Source organism: Homo sapiens, chromosome 11 (assembly GCF_000001405.40).
Source record: "Homo sapiens chromosome 11, GRCh38.p14 Primary Assembly".
In the NCBI taxonomy this organism is placed as follows: Eukaryota; Metazoa; Chordata; class Mammalia; order Primates; family Hominidae; genus Homo; species Homo sapiens.
Genome location: NC_000011.10, coordinates 101,429,421 through 101,450,152, shown reverse-complemented (window position 1 = coordinate 101,450,152; position 20,732 = coordinate 101,429,421). Strand labels below are relative to the sequence as shown.

Sequence of the window (20,732 nt, the reverse complement as noted above, 5' to 3'; positions counted from 1 at the left end):
TCTCTTTCTCACTCATCCTACGTTCATGGCTGAGGCCTCTATAACCAAAGACAGGTTAACAAAAGAAAAGTTTACAAATTTATTTACTGTGTTTTATGTAACACGTGAGCCTTCAGAAAGACTCAAACACTTAAACTTATGTATTTTTATGTTAAGTTTGACAAAGAGTGGAATTGAACAAGGGGGTATTATGTAATGGTACTGAAGTGGTGGGAACTTAGCAAGGCCTATTCAGATTCTTCTCTTACTATCTGGTTCTGTAACAAGAGTCTTTTATTCTTTTAATCACTCATGGTCTATCTCTAACATTCCCTTTAAGGGTCTGAGTAAAGTTGAGAATCTGAAAAAACACTGATGTGATTAAATATAGTGTACAGAAATCTATTTACAGTCAATAAGCCAATAAGGCCTGGGGCTTTAAGAGATGTGAAGCCTGTGTGTGTGTGTGTGTGTGTGTGTGTGTGTGTGTGTGTGTGTGTTCTCTCTGTGACCCCATGTCTTCAGAGATAAGGAGGTTCCTGTCCTCCATGTATAGGAAGGACACTTCTGGAATGAGGGTCTCATGACCTGCTTCAGTGGAAGATCAGAAAATTCTTTCTAGGGAAAGAATTTCTCACCTGCTTCAGGAGAGAAGGGTGAAGGGAAGGTGAGAATAACCTTCCTGCTTCTGCTGTTTCTTGAATTCCTTCAGCTCAAAATATTCAATATGCTGGGGTGCCATATTTTCAAGTAGCATGTCCTGAACCCTGTGATAGTTATAAAAAAGAATAAAAGATTGAGATGTATATTTCTTGGCAGGGACAGTATGAGCAAAACCAAGAGCTGGCCATGAGTGTGGGACACTTAGGGAGTTCTTTGGAGAGCAAATAGTAAATTCAATGGCTGTTGAGTCAGTGAGGAGAATGGATTGACTCAGGAGCAAATGGTTTCACTTTAATTGGACAGTCTATCCCACCCTTCCAGGACTGTTTCAGTATGAAAGAATTTTATTGTCATGTGAAGAGTGAAAACAAACTGAATTTTCAATTAAAATGGAGAGACTATATGTCAGTATTTGCCTGCCAGCCAGTCCCCTAACGAAATCACTGTCAGGATCGATTACCAGCTTCAGACCAAGGAAGAGCCCCAGACACAGATGATGTTTCTCCAGGTGGCACGTTCTAAGCATGCCCCACATCAGTTCTGATTTGAACACATAAATATCATCTCCCTCTTGGCTCCGAAACCCTCCTTCATCACTGTGTGCCAAGCAAGGTTTGTGAGCGTCATGCCAGTCATCTTGGCAGCTCTGGTGAATGGTGCTGAATATGAATTCCTACACTTCAGAGTCTCTACCCTTTGATGTAGACAGCGCATGTTTCCAAGTTAATCCAAGGTTGTGCAGGAGTGCAGCCCAGAACCCTAAAATGGATGGAAACTGAAACTTCAGCTGTTATCTGTTGTTATACAAAACATGGACTGCTAGTCCAAGTCTTTACTTCCATATGTGGCTAGCTGAGGTGAGCGACACAGCAGAGACTCTCTACAAGACCGGGTAATTAAAGTAAATTCATTTTTCTTTTCATGAATCTTAGAATGATTGCTTGAATTTTCTTCCTTACTCTGTATTCATAACTACAGCTATAAAAGTTTCCAGAAGCACTTTTCAAAAACACTTTCCTGGGATGGATTTAATGATAAGACCTATCAAAAATATTTCATTTTAAATTAGAGATTTTTGTATAGCTGTGTAAATAGCTAGAGACACTGACCAACTGTATGATCGTTTCTTTTTTTTGTTTTTAATATTAGTGCCATTTGATGGATAATCAATTTATCCAATATAAGTGGATCATAGAAATAGTGGCTCATATTTTTCAAAATCTCATGAAAATTACATATCAAAAGGCACCTTATTCAATGGTAAAGGTAATTATATCTACTAAGGAGATCATATATTCATAACGACTGTAACACTTCCTAACTAAGTATAATGTTACCTGGAACGCTGAAGAAAAAACAGGAGAAAGATTGGTATTCTAGTCTATTTGCACTGCTAAAATAAAATACCGTATTGGATAGCTTATAAACAGCAGAAATTTATTTCTCACTCTTCTGCAGGCTGAGAAATACAAGATCAAGGTGCTGGCAGATTCAGTGTCTGGTGAGGGCCCACTTTCTGGTTTTTGATAGTGTCCACTTTCTGTGTCTCCCATGAAGGAAGGGGCAAGTGAGGCCTCTAGGGCCTCTTTCATAAGGGCACTAATCCCATTCATGAGAGCTCTGGCCCCATGACATAATCACCTCCCAAAGGCCCCATCTTCAAATGCCCTCACATTGGCGGTTAGGATTTCCACATGTAAACTCGGAGAGGACACGAGTATTCAGATCATAACAACTGGTTTGTAGAGAATCAAATGAATTTTTAACCTTTCTTCTTTTTCTAATGTCCACCCTGGAAGTCACAAGGCTTTCATCATTGCACAGTGATAAACTGATGGAGTAGTGTATCAAAAGTTGACAGAGAGCTATATCTTCTGGCAAATGCATAGAAAGCACACTTTTTTTTCCTAAATAATAAAAGAAAACCTTGATGCTGACATTCAGGAAGTGAGTCTGGAATTTCACGTCCCTGCATTTTTGTCCTAATTATTGTCTATGAAAAGATACTGTTATACCACCATAGGAAGAATTTTTTCAAAATAAAGTAAGTTTACTTATTATCATGTCTCAGGCTAAAAGAACTGTGGCAATGCTCTGCGTTTGCTTTAACCTTTTTAGTAGTCTGTGATTCAGCTGTGTGACATTTACCCTTCACTCTTCTTCAGAAAATGGACTTTCACCAGAATGATTGGAAAAGGTCAAATTGTAAAGTGTCTTCTTATATTCTGGAAAATGTTAACATATCCTGTTGTTGCTACTGTTTGTTAACATTGAGAAAAATGTATACATACACACACACACACACACATATATATAAAGAGAGAGTCTGCCATGATATACAATCAATAGCTAAAGAACACATATATATGTAATTGTATATATGCTCAAAGACATTTTTCAAAACACAGCTATCTATAATTCTATCAAAAATTATAAATATGGATCTTTTTCTTTTCCCACATATCCTTTTACATTTTTTTCTTCATTTCAATGATTTTACTCCCTTTCTAGTCTCTCTGTATTATTTATCTCTTTGAATTCTTTTCATCCCAATGGTTCAGAGTATAGCATCTGCAGCCAGAAGTATTGGGTAATCCCAGCTCTGACAATAGCTGTATACTCTTCACCAAGTTTCTTAACCTCTTTGGACCTCATTATCCCAATTCTACAGGTGAAAAACAAAACACTAATATCTCCTACATTGAGTTTTTGTGAGGATTAAATGAGTTAATACATTTTAGGCTGATGATAAGCATTCAGTTAATACTAGCAATCATAGAGAAAGCATGTGGCTCCAAAATTTCTTTTTCCACTCCGTCTTAAACAACTCTCACTTAAACCTCACAAATCTATTGAAATTTAGGTTCTAACTCATGTTTCTCTGATCACTTGGTACATTACGTCTAGGGCATTGTGCTAGGAAGGATTCTGAGGCCCAGTCAGAATTGGTAGGAAAGAATGACATAGAGACATTGAATAATGCTTGCCATGGACATGGGAAGTTGGCCCTCATGCCACATATTTGCCATTTTTGAAAAAGATGAGTCACATTTGAGCAATATGTGGGAAAAATTCAAAGCATTTTTATTACTTGTGAGCATGATATTTGTATCATTTTATAACAGTATCATTCATAAGATGGCTTAGGGCAACTCCCATATTAGGTCCAGCTCACAAAACTTTTATTTGAAACCTATGAAATTCATTGCAGTGCTCTGGGTGCTATTGCCAGTAGCAGTACTAGAAACAGAATACAAGTAGTCTATTTATAAGCAAAAGACCTAATTAATACAAGCTACTTCCATGAGGCCCATCTTAATTTATTCATCCTAGATAGCTATACAGCCCTTGAGAATGAAACCTGGACTAATTTGTTTTGGGTTAATTTACCTGCCACAGCTTGTGGCTTCATCTCATTTTTTAGAGGGCATACCAAATCTATGTAAGAAAACCTTGACATTGTCCAGTCATTGGGTGGCTCCTGAGTGATTTGCATCTCCCTTTTGCAGGGTGATGACTTTTGACTCATTCACTCATACTTTTGTTTAATAAGAAAGCCATCTTTTGGCTGAAGTAGAAGTAAACAATAAATGAATCACATGCCAGCTTTTTCTGCTATTCCATTTACAGGTCTAGCCTATCAGGCTGCTTCAGAGCCATGATCCAGTTGTCTTTCATGACCTACTAATAGGATATAATTAACCCATAGCTTGTGTCATTAGTTCTTTTGACATTTAGCCTCACTAAGAAGCAGGACACAAAGAGCCTGTCTCAGTTTGATCACTTCTGCCTGATGCTGTCCACTCTGAGACCTAATTACTTTTTCTTGCAAATCCCCAAAACATTTAGGTTTGAACTTAGGGTAGGTGTCTCTCTCCTAAACCAATGACATCTCACTAATGATTTAAGAGCCCAGGGAGGGTTTATAAAGAAAACCTGTGTGAGGAACAGTTATGGCCCCTTATAGCCTTTGAATTGCTATCAATTAGGACAAGCCAGAAGTCCTCCAATATTGTGGTTGGTAAAAGGCATTTAATATGTCACAGGATCAGCAGTTATTTTTTAAAATAAACTTTTTCCAATAAGAAGTCTGGCCTGAGGCTGACATTATGAGGACATAACTTTTCCAGCAATTCATTTATTCTTAGTGTTATACTCTAGACATTAATTGTAACCTATCTGCTCCTGACTGCATCCAGTGAGATAATCTAAATCATTCCCAATTCCTTCCTCTTGAAGCAGGCACCAGGCCTGTTAGCCTTCTAGTATTTTCCAGTATTTCATGAGAATTGCAAAAATATCCATAAGAAATGCATTATCAGAAAATCAAAATAATGCAGTACTCCATGTGTCTTGACTTGTGTTTTGCAAGAGAAGTATCTAATGCCATTTTCATCCAATGACTTTTATGCATCTCCATGCTTGGAAGGGCTCCTGGGACTTTGTGGCTGCCCAGCAACATGTGATTTATTCAATCTGTAAACCAAAAATAAATTCTAAGCTCCACCCAGCCATCTGAATGGGCCCCTCCTCTCAGCCAAGGATATTCCAAAGTTATCCTGAAAAACTCATTAAGACCAGGATGGGAAGGAGGAGCTAGACACGCTTTATTACCCTCCTCTCTTTTGGAATTACTGGTAGAACAGACTCTTTAAATCTGATAAGAAATATTCACAATCGATTCTCTCTGAAGCCTGCTACCTGGAGGCTTCATCTACATAAAACCTTGGTTTCCACAACCTCTTATAACCCAGACATTCCTTTCTATTGATAATAACCAACTGTCAATCAGAAAAATGTTTACATCTACGGATGACCTGGAAGCTCCTGATTCGAGTTGTCCTGCCTTTCCGAACAGAACCAATATACATCTTACATGTATTGATTGATGTCTCATGTGTCCCTAAAATTGGCAAAACCAAGCTGTGTCCTGACTGTTAGCGGTGGTGAATCCTTAGGAATCTGCAGTAACCTCAATTCTTGCTACTTCAGAAGAAAGAATTCGACCAAGGGGACATAAAGCAGAGTGAGAGACCAAGGCAAGTTTTAGAGCAGGAGTGAAAGCTTATCAAAAAGCTTTAGCACAGAAATGAAAGGAAGTAAAGTACACTTACTTGGAAGAGGGCCAAGTGGGCGACTTGAGAGATCAAGGGCACAATTCCGCCTTCCGACTCATTGGCATGCTTACAGGATCTTGTGTTATTTCTGCCCTGATTCTTCCCTTGGGGTGGGCTGTCCACATGCACAGCAGCCTGCTAGCACTTGGGAGGGAACACATGTGCAGTGTGTTTACTGGAGGTGTATGCATGCTCACTTGAGGCGTTCTTCCCTTACCAGTCAAATGTCCCTAGAAGGTGAGACACCAGTTAAATTCCGTATGTTTTTGCCTCTTAATGTGCATGCTTGAGCCCATTCCCCCAACTCCTGAGATCTTGTCAGGAAGCTGCTGATTACCAGTTTCAGGTGTTTCTGTTTATAGGAAGACTGCCTTTCCCTGGTGCTGGCTGCAACCAATTATTTTAGAGACAGTTTAATAACTGCCCAGCACCTGATGGTTGCCTGACATTCCTGGTTGAGGGGGACCTTCACCTGCCCTGCTCATGTCTGTGTGACTACCTGCTGTAACATAACCACCTTGGGCACATGTGGTCAGGACCTCCTGAGACTGTGTCATGGGCATGTCCTCAACCTTAGTAAAATAAACTTTCTAAATTGATTGAGACTGGTTCACAGTCATTTCACAAATAATTTTGGGATCACAAATCATTTCACTTAAAATTCAAATAATAACTAAAACAGTTTATGCTCTCAAAGAGTTCTGAGCCAGACATACAGCCTATTAAATGCTGTGAAAGCCCCCAGGAGAAGCATCTAGGTATGTATTTGGAAGGGGGTGGGTGGGCTGGAATTTCAGGTCAAAGATGCTTCTGTTTGGAAGTAGCATACATTTTGGGGAAGCCTGCACTGAGACTGAAGCATTGTTACTTCCATTCCTTGGGACAACGATGTCAGAAGGAGACCCTAGAACAAGATTCACGTGCAATCAATTCACGAAGAAACGCTCCCAAGAAAAAACTGAAAGTGGTAGGGAAGGCAGGACAAGGAAGGAGAAAACCAAGCAATTGTGCAATTCAGGCAAAATCCTGCTAAGGGTAACTTCAAACAGATCCTGCACAGGAATTCTCTGAGCTGGACTTTCATTTTCCATTTTCTACCAGTCATTGGCTAAGGGCTGCCTCAGGAGGACGTATACTCTCAGGCACTTTCAGCAAAGGCTCCGGTAGCCCAAGTGTAGGCTTCCAGAGAAAGCAGCAGGTGCAGGTATTTAGAAGCAAAACCACACAGTCTTCATGGACGGACACACTGAAAAGGGATCTTGGAGGAATGCTAACAGCATCCACTCCACACCCAATGCACAGCACCAGGAACAGTATTCCTTGTAGTCACAGATTGCATCAGAATTCTAAAACGTTGTTTGGTGGCAAATTTTTTGGTACTTTGTAATTTTGGAATTTTCTTTTGGAACTTTGAGATTTTGAGAAATTGTATGGTTTTTTTTTTTTTTTTTTTTTTTTTTTTTTGAGTCTGTAGAGGAAATGCATTGTATCCTCTTGAAATCAAGGAATTTTTGGGTTACATGGGGTTAAACCAGGTGACATCTTTGTCCGCTGGGGACATGGCTGCTTTTATAGGTGGCTGCTGACTCCATTAAACTAAATTACATCATTTGGTTACAGAGATATCCCAGGCCCACCTCCCCATCTTATGAGGCAGCTAGGCCCTTCAAATTGCCCACTAGTTGTCCTTCCTTTAAGTGAAGTTATAATATGCTTCTTTGAAATGAAATTTTAATGAGGGTTATACATGAAACAGTTATTAATATTAACCTGACAGAATTTATCAGGACCTCTAAAGAATGAGACCCAGAATCAATAACTTTCAATGAGGGTCTAAGAAAATATCCAGAATATGGGGTCATTTTGTTAGGCTGTGTTGTAACTGAGAATACCATAGCAGTATCCTTGGCCTGAGGGGCAGCAGGAATGTATTCGATAGCTATGGGAAATGTAAGGGCCAAGGGCAGCCTCGAGAATAGGCAGCCAGCAGCATGAATGACTAATTTTCCCTTAGCTGGCCTTGTTCACAGTACTCACATTCCTACTGCCACAAAAAAATGACCCTGCACAAACTTTAGAGATTCATAACCCAAGGAATTAGTTCACAGTCACTTTCAGGCATTCTAGCGCATATTGGGTACTCAAAAATATTTACTGAATGAATACATTTGTTGAATGAATCCTTTGTTTGGTGCGACTTGCAACCCCAGAGGGGCTGGTAGCCACAGCCTGGAAGAGAAAAGGTGGAATAGGCCTTAGGTAGAGAAAAACTCCCAAGGGACCATTTCAAGACTTTCTGGCTGAATGTTGTGACATAGATGTCTCAGTAGCCTTCTCCAGGCTTAGTCAGCTTTGAGACTTAGTGTGGGACATGATCTCCAGTGATAGGGGAGCTATCTCTGGCTGGCTGGCACAGGGATCTCCTTACAGACTGCCAGAAAGAACACACCAACCTGGCTTGACTTGGGTTCTCTTTGTTTCCTGTACAGCTGACTGCTGGCCAAAATACACAGTATTCCAGATTGAGAGGTCACACTGACACAGTTCAGGCAGGCTGGTGACAAGGCCTCTGAAGAAGTAGGCGGGAAGCACCCACCCCCTGCCACTGCTGCTGATGTCATGTGGCAAAGTGGTTCAAGGAAATGGACACAGCTCCAGAGTCATAGCTGGAGCAAAACCTACCAGCTGCCACTTATCACCTCCCAGATGAACTTGGGCAAATGTTGAGCCTTTCTGAGACCCACTGTCCTCAGCTGTTTAAGAATAACCTATTTGATGAGATTGAGTGATGGTTAAACAAGAAAATGTATATGAAGTGCTTTTTCTTTGAGGGTCTTAAAATTGAGCATCCCTGTCAGGAACTGGGCTAATACCTTGCCTTATACATCTGCATCAGGTCTGCCCTAGAGGCCCAACTCAATTTTGAGATGAGATTTGTGCTGTAAAATAATCCCAGGACAAGCCTTCGGTTATGCATCTGGGCTATTAAAGACAAAGCTGAGACATGAACAGACCAGTCTTGGGGAGATGGGGGGCAGGCAGATAGCAGACCAGTCTTGGGGAAATGGGGGGCAGATGGATAGCAGAGTGGGAAATAGGGAGCTCTGGCCCAAAGCCACGACAAGACAAACACACCTGTTCTTGTCTATAACTCTTGGTTAATCTAGGTGCTAAATTTTGCCTCCAAACTTCACACTGGTCTTTTCTTCTATATGTGGCTGCTGTCCCTGGTGGGGACACGGCTTCAACTGGGCTTTATTTTCTGACACTTCCATGGTCTTGATGGTAGGGGCTTAGTCATTGGTGCCCTAGTCTTATGCCTATTCCTCAAAGTCGGCTGGGTTACGATCCCGTAAACTGCCAGGGGTCTATTGCTGAATCTTAAACACTCCTGAAGCATTCCTAGTCCCCAATGGACTGGAGCCCCTTCCTTGATACTTCTGTGAGAGCCCCATGTGCTCAGGACTGAAGACTTCCTGGAGCATGTGTGCCCCATCAGAGATGTGGTACTGAGAATTGCAAGTCCAAGATTCATTTGTTGAAAAACAAATACGCTCTGAGTGCCTAACATGTGCAGCAGCTGTTCTGAGTGATGAAGACAACAGGGAAAACCTCTGCCTCCCCATGGAATTTGTATTCAGGAAGGCAAAGACAGACTATAAGCAAAATAATTAGAGGTAAAGGAGTTGCGGTTTTAAATCGGGTGGTCAGGAAAGGCCACCCGATAAAAGATCTAAAGGAGCTAGAGGAGGGAACAAGCAGATACGTAGGAAGAACATTCTAGGCTGGGTGAACCTGAGTACAAAGACTCGGATGCATGGGCATGTCTTGGTGGGGGTTGTGGAACAGCGAGGAGGAGAGGGGCGTTGGAGGGAAGGAGGGGGACAGCAGGAGGAGATGAGGTCAGAGAGGCCACAAGAAGGGCCAGAGCATGGACGGCCATGAGAGCCACAGGGAGACTGTGGCTTTTACGCTGAGTGGAAAAGGAAGACCGAGCAGGATTTTGAAGACAGCGAAAGCAGCATTGTTCTCTGGCTGGCTGTCTGCGGGGCCTGTTCCTACCCTCACTTCTAGAGCTAAGACCTTCCTTTCTTCATCTCACTTTGCCATCATCTCCTGAACGGCAGTTTCTTGTGATATTGGGAGCATCAGAACCGGCTGGGTCGGGTCAAAACCCACATTGTGACATGCCGTGCAGACTTTCACTCTGACAAATGGCCGGAGCTGAACTGGAACACACTATCCAGTTGACACTATCTCCAACACCAGCCTACCCTCCCCACAAGCCTTCCTCCTTCCTGCTAGCTTGTAGCTGAATCTCTCGCCTCCTCCTTTCTCCCACTCTTTCCCCATAATTTCCTTCACGTGGGCTCTTTTGCGCCTAGAAAAACTGATGCTAACCTCAGGGTTTTCTAAATACCTATTAGAAGCCAGTGTTGACAGTGTACCAGGCTACCTGGTGTTTCCCTGGAAGCTTCCACTCCTTCATCCTCCCACCTATTTATGTAAAGAAACGGCAATAAAATTAGCATAGGGCTTGCCTCAGGAAATTATAGGCCCAAATGAACACTGATTTCAAAAAGGAGTTTCTAAAATCTCTTCATTTTTCTTTTTGAAATTGACTAACCTGAGCCGGCGTTTCAGCGCAAACCAACTGTGGTTTGTGACTGAATCAGGCCACAGCCAGTTTAAGCCATAGTGCCCACTTCACTCTCTAGCACTACTCTGTGGTGGAGAAGGGGTGATGCGTGAAATTTTTTTTTTTAACTTTTATTAAGTTCAAGGGTACATGTGTTGGTTTGTTACATAGGTAAAGTTGGGTCATGGAGGTTGTTGTATGGATTATTTCATCACCCAGGTATTAAGCCTAGTATCCATTAATTATTTTTACTGACCCTCTCCCTCCTCCCACCCTCCACCCTCAAATCGGCTCCCCTCTATATGTCCCTGTGTTCCATCACTTAGCTCCCACTTATAAGTGAGAACATGCGGTATTTGGTGTGTTGTTTTCTGCATTAGTTGCTAAGGATAATGGCTTCCAGCTCCATCTATGTCCCTGCAAAAGACATTCTCTTTCTTTTTTATGGCTGCATAGTATTCCATGGTGTATATGTACCACATTTTCTTTATCCAGTCTATCATTGACTGGCATTTGGGTTGATTCTATGTCTTTGCTATTGTGAATACAGCTGCAATGAACATATGTGTGCATGTGTCTTTATAACAGAAAAATTTATATTCCTTTGGGTATATATCCAATAATGGGATTGCAGGGTCAAATGGTTTTTCTGTCTTTAGGTCTTTTATAAATGGCCACATTGTCTTCCACAATGGTCGAACTAATTTATACTCCCACCAACAGAAGGTAAGTGTTCCTTTTTCTCCACAACCTCACCAGCATCTGTTATTTTTTTGACTTTTTAATAATTAGCCATTCTGACTGGTGTGAGATGGCATCTCATTGTGGTTTTGATTTGCATTTCCCTACTAATCAGTAACATTGAGCTTTTTTTCATATGTTTGTTGGCCACATGCATGTCTTCCTTTGAGAGGGTTCCTGTTTATGTCCTTTGCCCACGTTTTAGTGGGGTTGTTTTTTTCTTGTAAACTTAAGTTCCTTATAAATGCTGGATATTAGACCTTTGTCAGATGCACAGTTTGCAAAAGTTTTCTCCCATTCTGTAGGTTGTCTGTTTACTCTGTTGATAGTTTATTTTGCTGTGCTGAAGTTCTTTAGCTTAATTAGATCCCATTTATCAATTTTTGCTTTCGTTGCAATTGCTTTTGGCATGTTCATCATGAAATCTTTGCCCATGCCTACACCCAGAATGGTATTGCCTAGGTTGTCTTCCTGGGTTTTTTATAGTTTTGGGTTTTACATTTAAGTCTTTAATGCATCTTGAATTGATTTTCATGTATGGTGTAAGGAAGGGGTCCAGTTTCAGGCTTATGCATATAGCTAGCCAGTTGGCCGTCTCCAAGGCAAGGAGCAGCCAGCAGGGAGCAGCTTGTGCTCCAGCTCTGGAGCAGCCTGCCAGGAGGCCTGGAGCACTGTGACACAGACTGGTTTTATGAGTAACTGGTAGCCTCTAATAACCCTGCTCATAACTATGGCATTGGAGATGGGGCCCTGAAGACCATTCATAGAGCCAATGCAATTATGGCCTTGACTTGCACATGGGCCATACACAAGTCATTCCTTCATGTCATCTCCCCCAGCAGTGAGTGAGATGCTGCAATATTTGAGTTTTGCAAATAAATATATTCAAATATAACATAAATATATCTAAAAATAGATTTTTAATAAATAACATTATTTTTAATTTTTACTATGTAAAAGTCCTAATTCTTGTAGAAGATTTAGTAATATTAATCAATGACAACTGTCATCTATTAAACAGACATAAATGGCAGATTCTGTGCTAGGTCTTCAATCTACTTCATCTCATTGAATATGACAACCCTATGTGTAGATATTGTTCTATCAGAGATGACAACATTCAAGTTCAGTCAGATCAAATAACTGGCTCAAAGTTAGATAGCTAATATGTGGTAGAATCAAGATTTAAGTAAGAACTTTTTGGAAATAACAGTAAAGTGCAAGAAGTAGGTATTGGAGTTAAAATGCCTTAATTCGCCTGACTGTGTTTGACGTTTGTGGATGGAGGATGATTTACACACATTTAATGGTGTTGCATCCGTATGTTATAGCATTGCAAAAATGGAAGGACTTATTTCCCACTCTGAGAAGAAAAACAACTCACTCCACACACTATCACAGCTCACTAGGAAAGCCAGTCACTCAGAGGAGCTGCGACGGGCAGAGGGCTACAGAAGCTCAGGTCATGGAGAGAGAGCCCATTTTGCACTGCCATGTCCAGAGTTCACACACACAAAAAGACTGATTTTTTTTTTTTTTTTTTGGTTACAAAGACACAAAAACATAAAGCTAGCATACAAAGAGTGGTCTGTTCTGGTGAGACTCTCGGTTTTGTTGCTGGTTTATTCTGAATTCTCTTATATTTCCTCATCACATAGGTTAAAACAAACACTAGCTCTTTAGCAAGAAAACCTTGGAGCATAAGCACTGCAACTGATCAAAGATGGATACAGAAGGTTCTGATAAATGTATAGCATTTCTTTATTTTTCCTTGCAGAGCATTTGACTCAGTACCTTGTGGAGAAGACAAAAAGATTTGATAATAATCACTGTACCCCTTTTTTCATATATATGGATCCCATCTGACTATTAAAATTGTACTTCATAGTGAAAAAAAAGTAGATGAATGCTTAAACAATGCTTCTTTAATATATCTTATTTTTCTCTGGGTGCACGTCATGTTCTATCTTAACACATTTGCTAATTTAATTTTCACAGTAGTCCCCATCTTGCATCTTAGAGAAGAGAAGTAGCAATCATTGTTCTTGCTGAAGACCAGGATTCTAAACCCAGCGCTTTTAAGACCAAGGCCAGTACTTTATGTATGCAAGCATGTAGAGTAATTGCAAAAGAAGAGGCTCTCTCAAGAGGAAGAGTGTTGAAGTAATTTTCAAAGTCAGGTCAAGTTGCTCCTGTCTATCAGCAGTGAAGGTAGGTAAAGAACAATTTGTCTTTCAATTTGCCAATGAAGGATAGAAGCAAAAAGCATCTTGACCTAGGTAAGCCAGCAGAGGGTGCCATTGTCCCTTCCTGTAGATGTAATCATGCAAGCCCAAGGGGCTCACCTTTCTTGCCTAAAGGAAAAGGTCCAGGCGAGAGGTCCCAAACTTCTCAGGTCATAATGCTCCTGCATCTTCTTTCCACAAAATTTAGATCAGTAAAAAAATTTTCCTATAAGCAAACAGGGAGCTGAGCTTTATGGATACAGGTAACTTAGTATCTTTGAAACCGGCTTTAAGTAATTTTTTTGAACTCACTAGAAAATGTTTTTTCAATGACTAAATGAGACCTGGGAGGACACACAATAGTCCCTGCTGTCTGGCTTTGAATAACTTTAATTTTCTTTTTTAGGAAGAGAGGATTAGTCTGTGAAGAAGCAGCTTTGCCCAGCCCTACCAGAAGAATCAGAGTTTAAACTGCCATAGAGTGATTTCTAACCCCGTCCCCAAACCACCACCACCACCACCATCATCCTAAATTCTCATCCAGCCACCTTGCTGGACCTATTAAACAGTGGACAACACAAGGACTTCTGTCCACAGGAAGCACTTAATAAACAGTGGTTGAATGTGCGAGTGCAGCCCCTGCTTAAATACCCCCAACAGCAACAAAGTGATGTGCACATTCCCCAGCTACCCATCCTGCCACGGTTTTGAGCTGCCCTGCTTGTATGTGTCAGGAGTGAGCATGCTGAAAATCAAGCAAAGAAGATGTTTACATGTGTCTTTTGCTTGCCAGTGGTTACAGACACAGCCTTACTCTCACCATAAACGCTTCAAAAGTACCTGCTGAATTGAGTAAGTAGGAGCTGGCTCTAATTATGAGTAATAAATGAAACTGAGCCAGGAAAATTGAGTATGAAACAGTTTAAGGGGAAGACATTAATGATAAAGTCTGCTCATGTGTGTAACTGCCTCCCACCAGCAGCAGTGGCTGTCCCCTGCCTTAATTAACTTAGCAAAAGAAATAGTTCAGCCTAGAGCTCTTCATGCGGGGATGCAATGAGAGGATGAAGGAGGCAGGGGAAAGCACAGCAAAGATGCCCTAATGGGTTTTCTACATCTAGGTTGATTGACTGTTGAGAAAAGAAAGAACAGCTTGTACTATTCTGGGTAGCATGAGCACTGTAATTTGTGACAGCTATAGGTCATGTATCTATTTTTCTGTCTGACAAGGACGAGGAGCAGCTGGTGGCTGGTACAAACTCAGATTGGCTTGGTCAGGCTGTGAACTATGATAGAGCCTTGGTTTTCAGCCTGAGCTATAATGGAGGAAGGGTATGTGGTTAATGTTTGCATGTCTGTGCAAATTTAACTGTAGTTAACAGATTTGTGGCTGCAGGTGGAAAATGAAGCTTAATGATTCCAATAACTCGTCCTTAATTTCCTTCTGATTCTGAAAACAAGGTAGATTTTATACCTTTCATATCTCTCCCCACTCCCACTGTGGCCACCTTCAATTAAGTCCAAAAACATTATTTTAGTTCTTGTTAAATACTTGGCACCATGCTGGGCACCGAGCAAGTGAGAAGAATGTGGCATGCTCCCTGTCCTTCCAAGAATCATTTAATACAGAAGATAGATAAGTAATCAAATAGGGTGGTAATTGTGATAACAGATCTATGCACAAATGCTACAAAGATGCAGTACAGATAAGGGAGTGATTTCCTCTATTGCTACAGAATAAGGAGAATCATAGAAAACATCTCAATTCATAGAAATGAGGAGACCATATTAAAGAATGCAACTTTCCAATGCATAATTCAAATTCTTCCCTCCTGTAAGGTGATTTAAAAAGTGTTGAAGGGTAAAAAGACTACCTCATCCTTATAGAGAGACTTTCTTCTCTGCCTATCCAAACCTCCCATGCCAAGTGATAGACCTTTGCTACTGTGACCAGATCCCTAGCCGGTGCCCTGCTCATGACCCCCACCCCTTCCTAGGTCATGGCTTCCAACTACAGTAATATATTTTTTGTCTTACAAAATATTCTGGGCTTTTTATTTTATTTCCTTTGGACATTTAAAAAAAAAAGATCCTGCAAAAAGCATTCAGCTGGAGCAGGAGTGTCCAACTTCTGGCTTCCCTGGGCCACATTGGAAGAAGAAATGTCTTGGGCTCCACACAGAATACACTAACACTAACAGTAGCTGATGAGCTAAAAAAATTGCAAAAAAAAATCTCATGTTTTAAGAAAGTTTACAAATTTGCATTGGGCTGCAAAGGCATCCTGGGCCACATGTGGCCAGTGGGCTGTGGGTTGGACAAGCTTGAGCTAGACTGTGCTTGTCTCTGCAAGCCTGAAGTGTCAGTGTTTCCCTTAGGAAAAGAGCATTATCAAAGCTCCATGTAGTTAAACCAAGCCAAACGCATGTGTTGAAACTGTGAACTTCAGAAAGTCAAATACACAGAGTTTCCCGACATCTTCTTGTTCCTAACATGCTCATTAATTCTGTCCTCATTTCCCCTTATCCCTTCTTAACCACACCTTCCATCACTCCTCCCTTTATGGACCTTCTCCCTGTTATGCCACATGCCACAACAAACAGGCCTCCCTCGTAGACACTGTCATCCTTCTCCAGGAAAAAAATTACTAAGTGGAAAGAGGGAGTTGCAATGTCCTATCCCTATAGGAATAGCAATGTGGTTCACTTTTGGGGAACCAATGCAGAATGAACAACAAATGAATAGAAAACTAGTCTTGTATATTTGGAAAGAGCTCATATTCTTGGAATAAATCTATGCCCTCAGATCTTCAGTGGAAGGGAGTAATAAATATATAAATAAAAATAAATATTGAAGTAAATCCTCAGTGGTAAAGAAAATGCATGGGAACTTTTAAAGAAATTGCATGTAATAACTGAATATTCCACAGTGCAACAGCAGTTCTCTTTATATTCCCAGGCTCATTGAGTTAGCCCTGGAGTATTTAAACATTCAATTATGTCCAACCATCAGACTGAGCCTCAAGATTGTAAGAAAACCACCAATAAGGGAATGTCCCCTGAATCCTAGATCCCTAGGATTTGCTGTATTAGCCAAGCACTTAAATCTTTTCAATTTGACTTAGGCTGTATTTCCTGCTTGGGTTTGTCAGGTGATCTACATGGAAAGGAGTCCCTAACTCCAGAGAGTAATTGACAAAAATGTTCATTCTAAAGCAATTCAGGTTATGTTTAGACCATAGCACCGAATGTATATGTATCCTGGAGTCTTCTCAAATTTGGATTTTGATGTGCGATAGATTTGAATATAAACTACAATTTTGGAGGCCTTCGAACAGAAGTACAGTCAGGACCCATGGCTTATGGTGTGTCACATAAACAGGAACAGTTTGTTTAGCAAAAGCTTGGAAGTTTTAGTGTTTTCAAAACAGATATTCAGGGACATAATCCAATATCCTCTATTGCCAAATGAATTCCAACTGTGACCTGTTTTTCTCAGCCATGATGAGCTTTGTGTTTTTGATGGAACCCAATTGAATCCGGGAAGAAAAGGAACTAAAATAATTAACTGCACATCTCAGAGTCTGGGTCTGGCAGTGTTTAAAGTTGAAGGCAGGGACTAGCATTAAACACCTTTATGTTGCCATAGAAGCATCCAGGACGTTAAAATCAAATCATTTGCAGTCTCAATGGCTCTTGCTGCAGGAAGCTCCTTGGAGGGGCAACAGGGATCAGTCTTATTTCAGCAGAGACTCCTTATCAGGGGAAGGCACCCCACACCCTTCTCACATGCAGCCCTGAATTTTGTGCATGCCAGTCCCTGAGGCATCAGCTGTGAAGTTACTGCAAAAATAAGAATGGACTCTATGAATTTTGTGGTAAATAATTTTGGAAGTTATTACATACTTTATCTCCCTCTTGAAGATTCACCACACTCTTGATCACCTTAAAGACCCTGAGAAGTCTTAAAGTCAAAATGTTTTATGTGTTCCTATACATATGTATTTTTAAACACAGACTTCTCTAAATTTATTTGACTGAAGCCATTTTTGCAGGACAATTATTAACATCTCAAGGAATCGATGTTCTATGACACACGTTTTGGGAAAGACATATCAAAGTAACGCGCACTTCACACAGCAAATGAACGTTTGCAAGTAGGTGCACAAACTACTCACAGGTGAGGAGGGATGCAGAAGAATATTTGTAAAAATTCACAATATAGGAGCCTCAGGGAAGGCAGCCAATATCAACCAGGTGAGTCTTGTTCAAAAGTGAGGGTGTGTTTGGTGAAGGTGAAAGTGAAAGTGGCGAAGTAAAAGTAATTTCACTCAAATGGAAGGAAATTGGCACAAGGTGGGCTCTCACTTCCAGGTATTTCTATCAAACCCCAAGGCAGCTCTTCCTGTCAAATTACAAAATCTCTGGGCTGGGTGGAGCCTGAAACCTAATCAGAACCACACAAGGATTCATCTGGGATGGGTCCTATGTGGGAATAGATCTTATGGCTCCCTAATGGGTAACAGATAACATTATTAAGTATGAAAGTAAAGGGAGGGATTGAGACACATTGCGCACAGACAGACCACACAGGACTGTGATCAGCAAGCTTCCTTTTGTTTCCATAATTATCAGCTTAAAACTGACTTGGAATGAGAACTCTGAGGATAGAATCAGAGCCCTCTGGCCTCAGAAGTCTAAATTGGAGCTCATGCTCTTCAATCTCTGCTGTATGAGTGTTGTAATTTATATTCTCCTGTGAAGGGGAGTAGCCTTGGGAAATAGAATTCTAAGTCTGAGGGTGTAAGGATAGCTTGGGGACAAACAACTCATTGCTTGTTTACTGGAGATTTTGGGGGAAAAATCCAGGGAAAATAATTTCTCAAGAAAAACAAGTTTTTATGGAGTTTCTACCTCTTTCTGGCTTTTCCCCTCATAGACTAATACCAGAATGTTCCCCTATGTTAATTTGGATTCCTCTTAAAAGCAGACACCAAGATGAGATGTTACATACAAGAGATTTATTGGGGGAAATACCCCAATAGGATAAAGAAGAGGGAAATTCAGGCTGGGCACGGTGGCTCACGCCTGTAATCCCAGCACTTTGGGAGGCCAAGGCAGGCGGATCACGAGGTCAGGAGATCGAGACCATCCTGGCTAACACGGTGAAACACCATCTCTACTAAAAATACAAAAAAATTAGCTGGGCATGGTGGTGGGCACCTGTAGTCCCAGCTACTCGGGAGGCTGAGGCAGGAGAATGGCGTGAACCCGGGAGGCGGAGCTTGCAGTGAGCCGAGATTGTGCCACTGCACTCCAGCCTGGGCGACAGAGCGAGACTCCGTCTCAAAAAAACCAAACAAACCAAAAAAAAAAAAAAAAAAAAGAAGAGGGAAATTCAAAGAGTGGGCGGAGTCAGACAGCTGTGAAAGAGGGGAAAAGAAGGATGACTCAGTGGAAGGCAATTCAACCTGCAGCAAACTGCAGTGTGTTTCTAAGAAAGTGTCAGCCAGGCCAACGGCAAACACATCAGCTGAGGGTGCCTGTTGAAATACTCCAGGCAAAATTGCATTTCTCACAGGAAGGAGCCTGCAATTTACCTCCACAATGCTCCAGGCTTCTAATAGCCACCCTAGAGGTGAGTTTACCCTATCCCCAGGGGTCCTCACAAGAATGTTAAATTCCGTGTCGAGAAAGTTCCCCCAAGTCAATGAATTTTTGCTTGTCCACTCTTACATTCCAGTACCCTCCATCAAATATCACTAAAATTCCAATACAAGTATAAGCTAGCTAAAATTCATAGTTTCTCTAGTATATAATTTCTTCCTTCCCTTATCTGGCCCAGCACATCTTCAGCTGGAATCATAGTTATCAGTGTGGAATGCAGGAGAGGAAGTAGAGGCAGCTCTTGAGTGGGATTCTTCTTGATTCACTGCTTTATCTTCTACCAAGAGGGTAGCGTAGTTCTTACTAGGGAAGGGTTGTTAACTGCTGAAAGCTCTGAGAATGGTCAGCATGGGGAGGAGTGTGCAGAGTCAATATCCTCAGGAAATCCATCCAGTTGCCCCCATCTCATTTTTTAGGGTCCCAAGTTTTCTCAGCCATTTTCAATCTTTCTCAGCATTTAAACATCTTTGGGGCTTCCAAAGGAGAAATTAAGGGGGATTAAGTAATAAGAGTTCCAAGCTGCAGCACAGTTCTAACAAGGTTTTAGCCATATGGAAATTCTCAAGTAAAGTCACCAAAACAAGAGTCCTGTGTTTTACAGGAATAGGCCTGCATCTGTGAGGCCAGTATCCCCACTATGCTCATTTGTTAGCTGGAAGGAATTCATGGGAGGCATGCTTTTGGCACAAACAAATGAGCAGGGAAGAGCTAGAAGAAGAGCAGCTGAGGCTACCAATCAGTTATGCTCCCCGAAGCAAGAGATCTGATTGGCACATTTTTATGGCCATCCCATCCTTCCAGGTACTGTGTTGCTGCCCTGAAGACCTGTCTGACATTGAAATGACATTCTGGGAAAGTCTGTCTACAGCTTGAAGAGGCCAATTCTATATACAGCAAACTATCCCTCTGGCTGATTCCTGCTGATACTCTCCAAATGAAAGATGGGTGAGAGCCAAGAGGCAGAAGGAGAATGTAGATTAAAGTGGAGAAAAAAGAAGAAAACAAAAACTGAAGCGTGGAGCAGTGCCTCTTTTATGTCAAAATAAAACTCAAAAATGAAGTAGCAGCCAGAAGATGAAAAAGAATAACAACCACTACACAATTCAAGAAATATGAGGGGAAGAAAGGTTGCTTCTCTGCAAGACTGTGTGCTGAGCTCAAAGAGAAAAAGAAACCCTGAGACTGCTCTTGCCCTCATTCTTCCCTAGCAATAGCTGCTGATTTGTTGACTCTGCCATGTGACCTTTGCAACCACTTAGCTGCCTTTTGTTAACATGTCAAACACTGAAGTTTCTTCTTTAATCACCACCAGCAGATGATTCAGTGAAAATTTAAAATGGATTCACTGATGGCATCAAAATGGCAGAGTAGGAGCAATCTGGCTTCACTCTCCCTCATAGAAAAGCAAAAACAACTATCTAGTGCCAAGATTATCACCCGGAATATTCCAAAACTTAAAACTGAGGCTGCGACAATCCCTAGAGCCTCAGAGAAGTGAAAAACCAGGAGCAGAAGGTAGGGGAAATGAATTTCTTTAACCTTGATGCCCCTCCAGCAAGCTGCCAGGCACCACATGGAAAACTGCCCCTAGACTTCTTTCTACACTGAAAAAGTGTAGCCTCTACAATGGAAAAACTGAGATCAAGGCAGACAGCTGGCTTCTCCACCATCCTGGGTTCCTTAGAAGGAAAAACATTCCTGC

General features: G+C 41.3%; 1 long non-coding RNA gene across 1 annotated transcript; it reads left to right on the top strand.

The window, feature by feature from the left end:
• On the top strand, window positions 11,085-15,427 carry LOC124902737 (uncharacterized). The gene is made up of 3 exons (XR_007062861.1): window positions 11,085-11,124; window positions 13,138-13,350; window positions 13,771-15,427. It is a non-coding gene; the product is annotated as an uncharacterized LOC124902737 (long non-coding RNA).
• The last annotated feature ends 5,305 nt before the right edge of the window (window positions 15,428-20,732 follow it).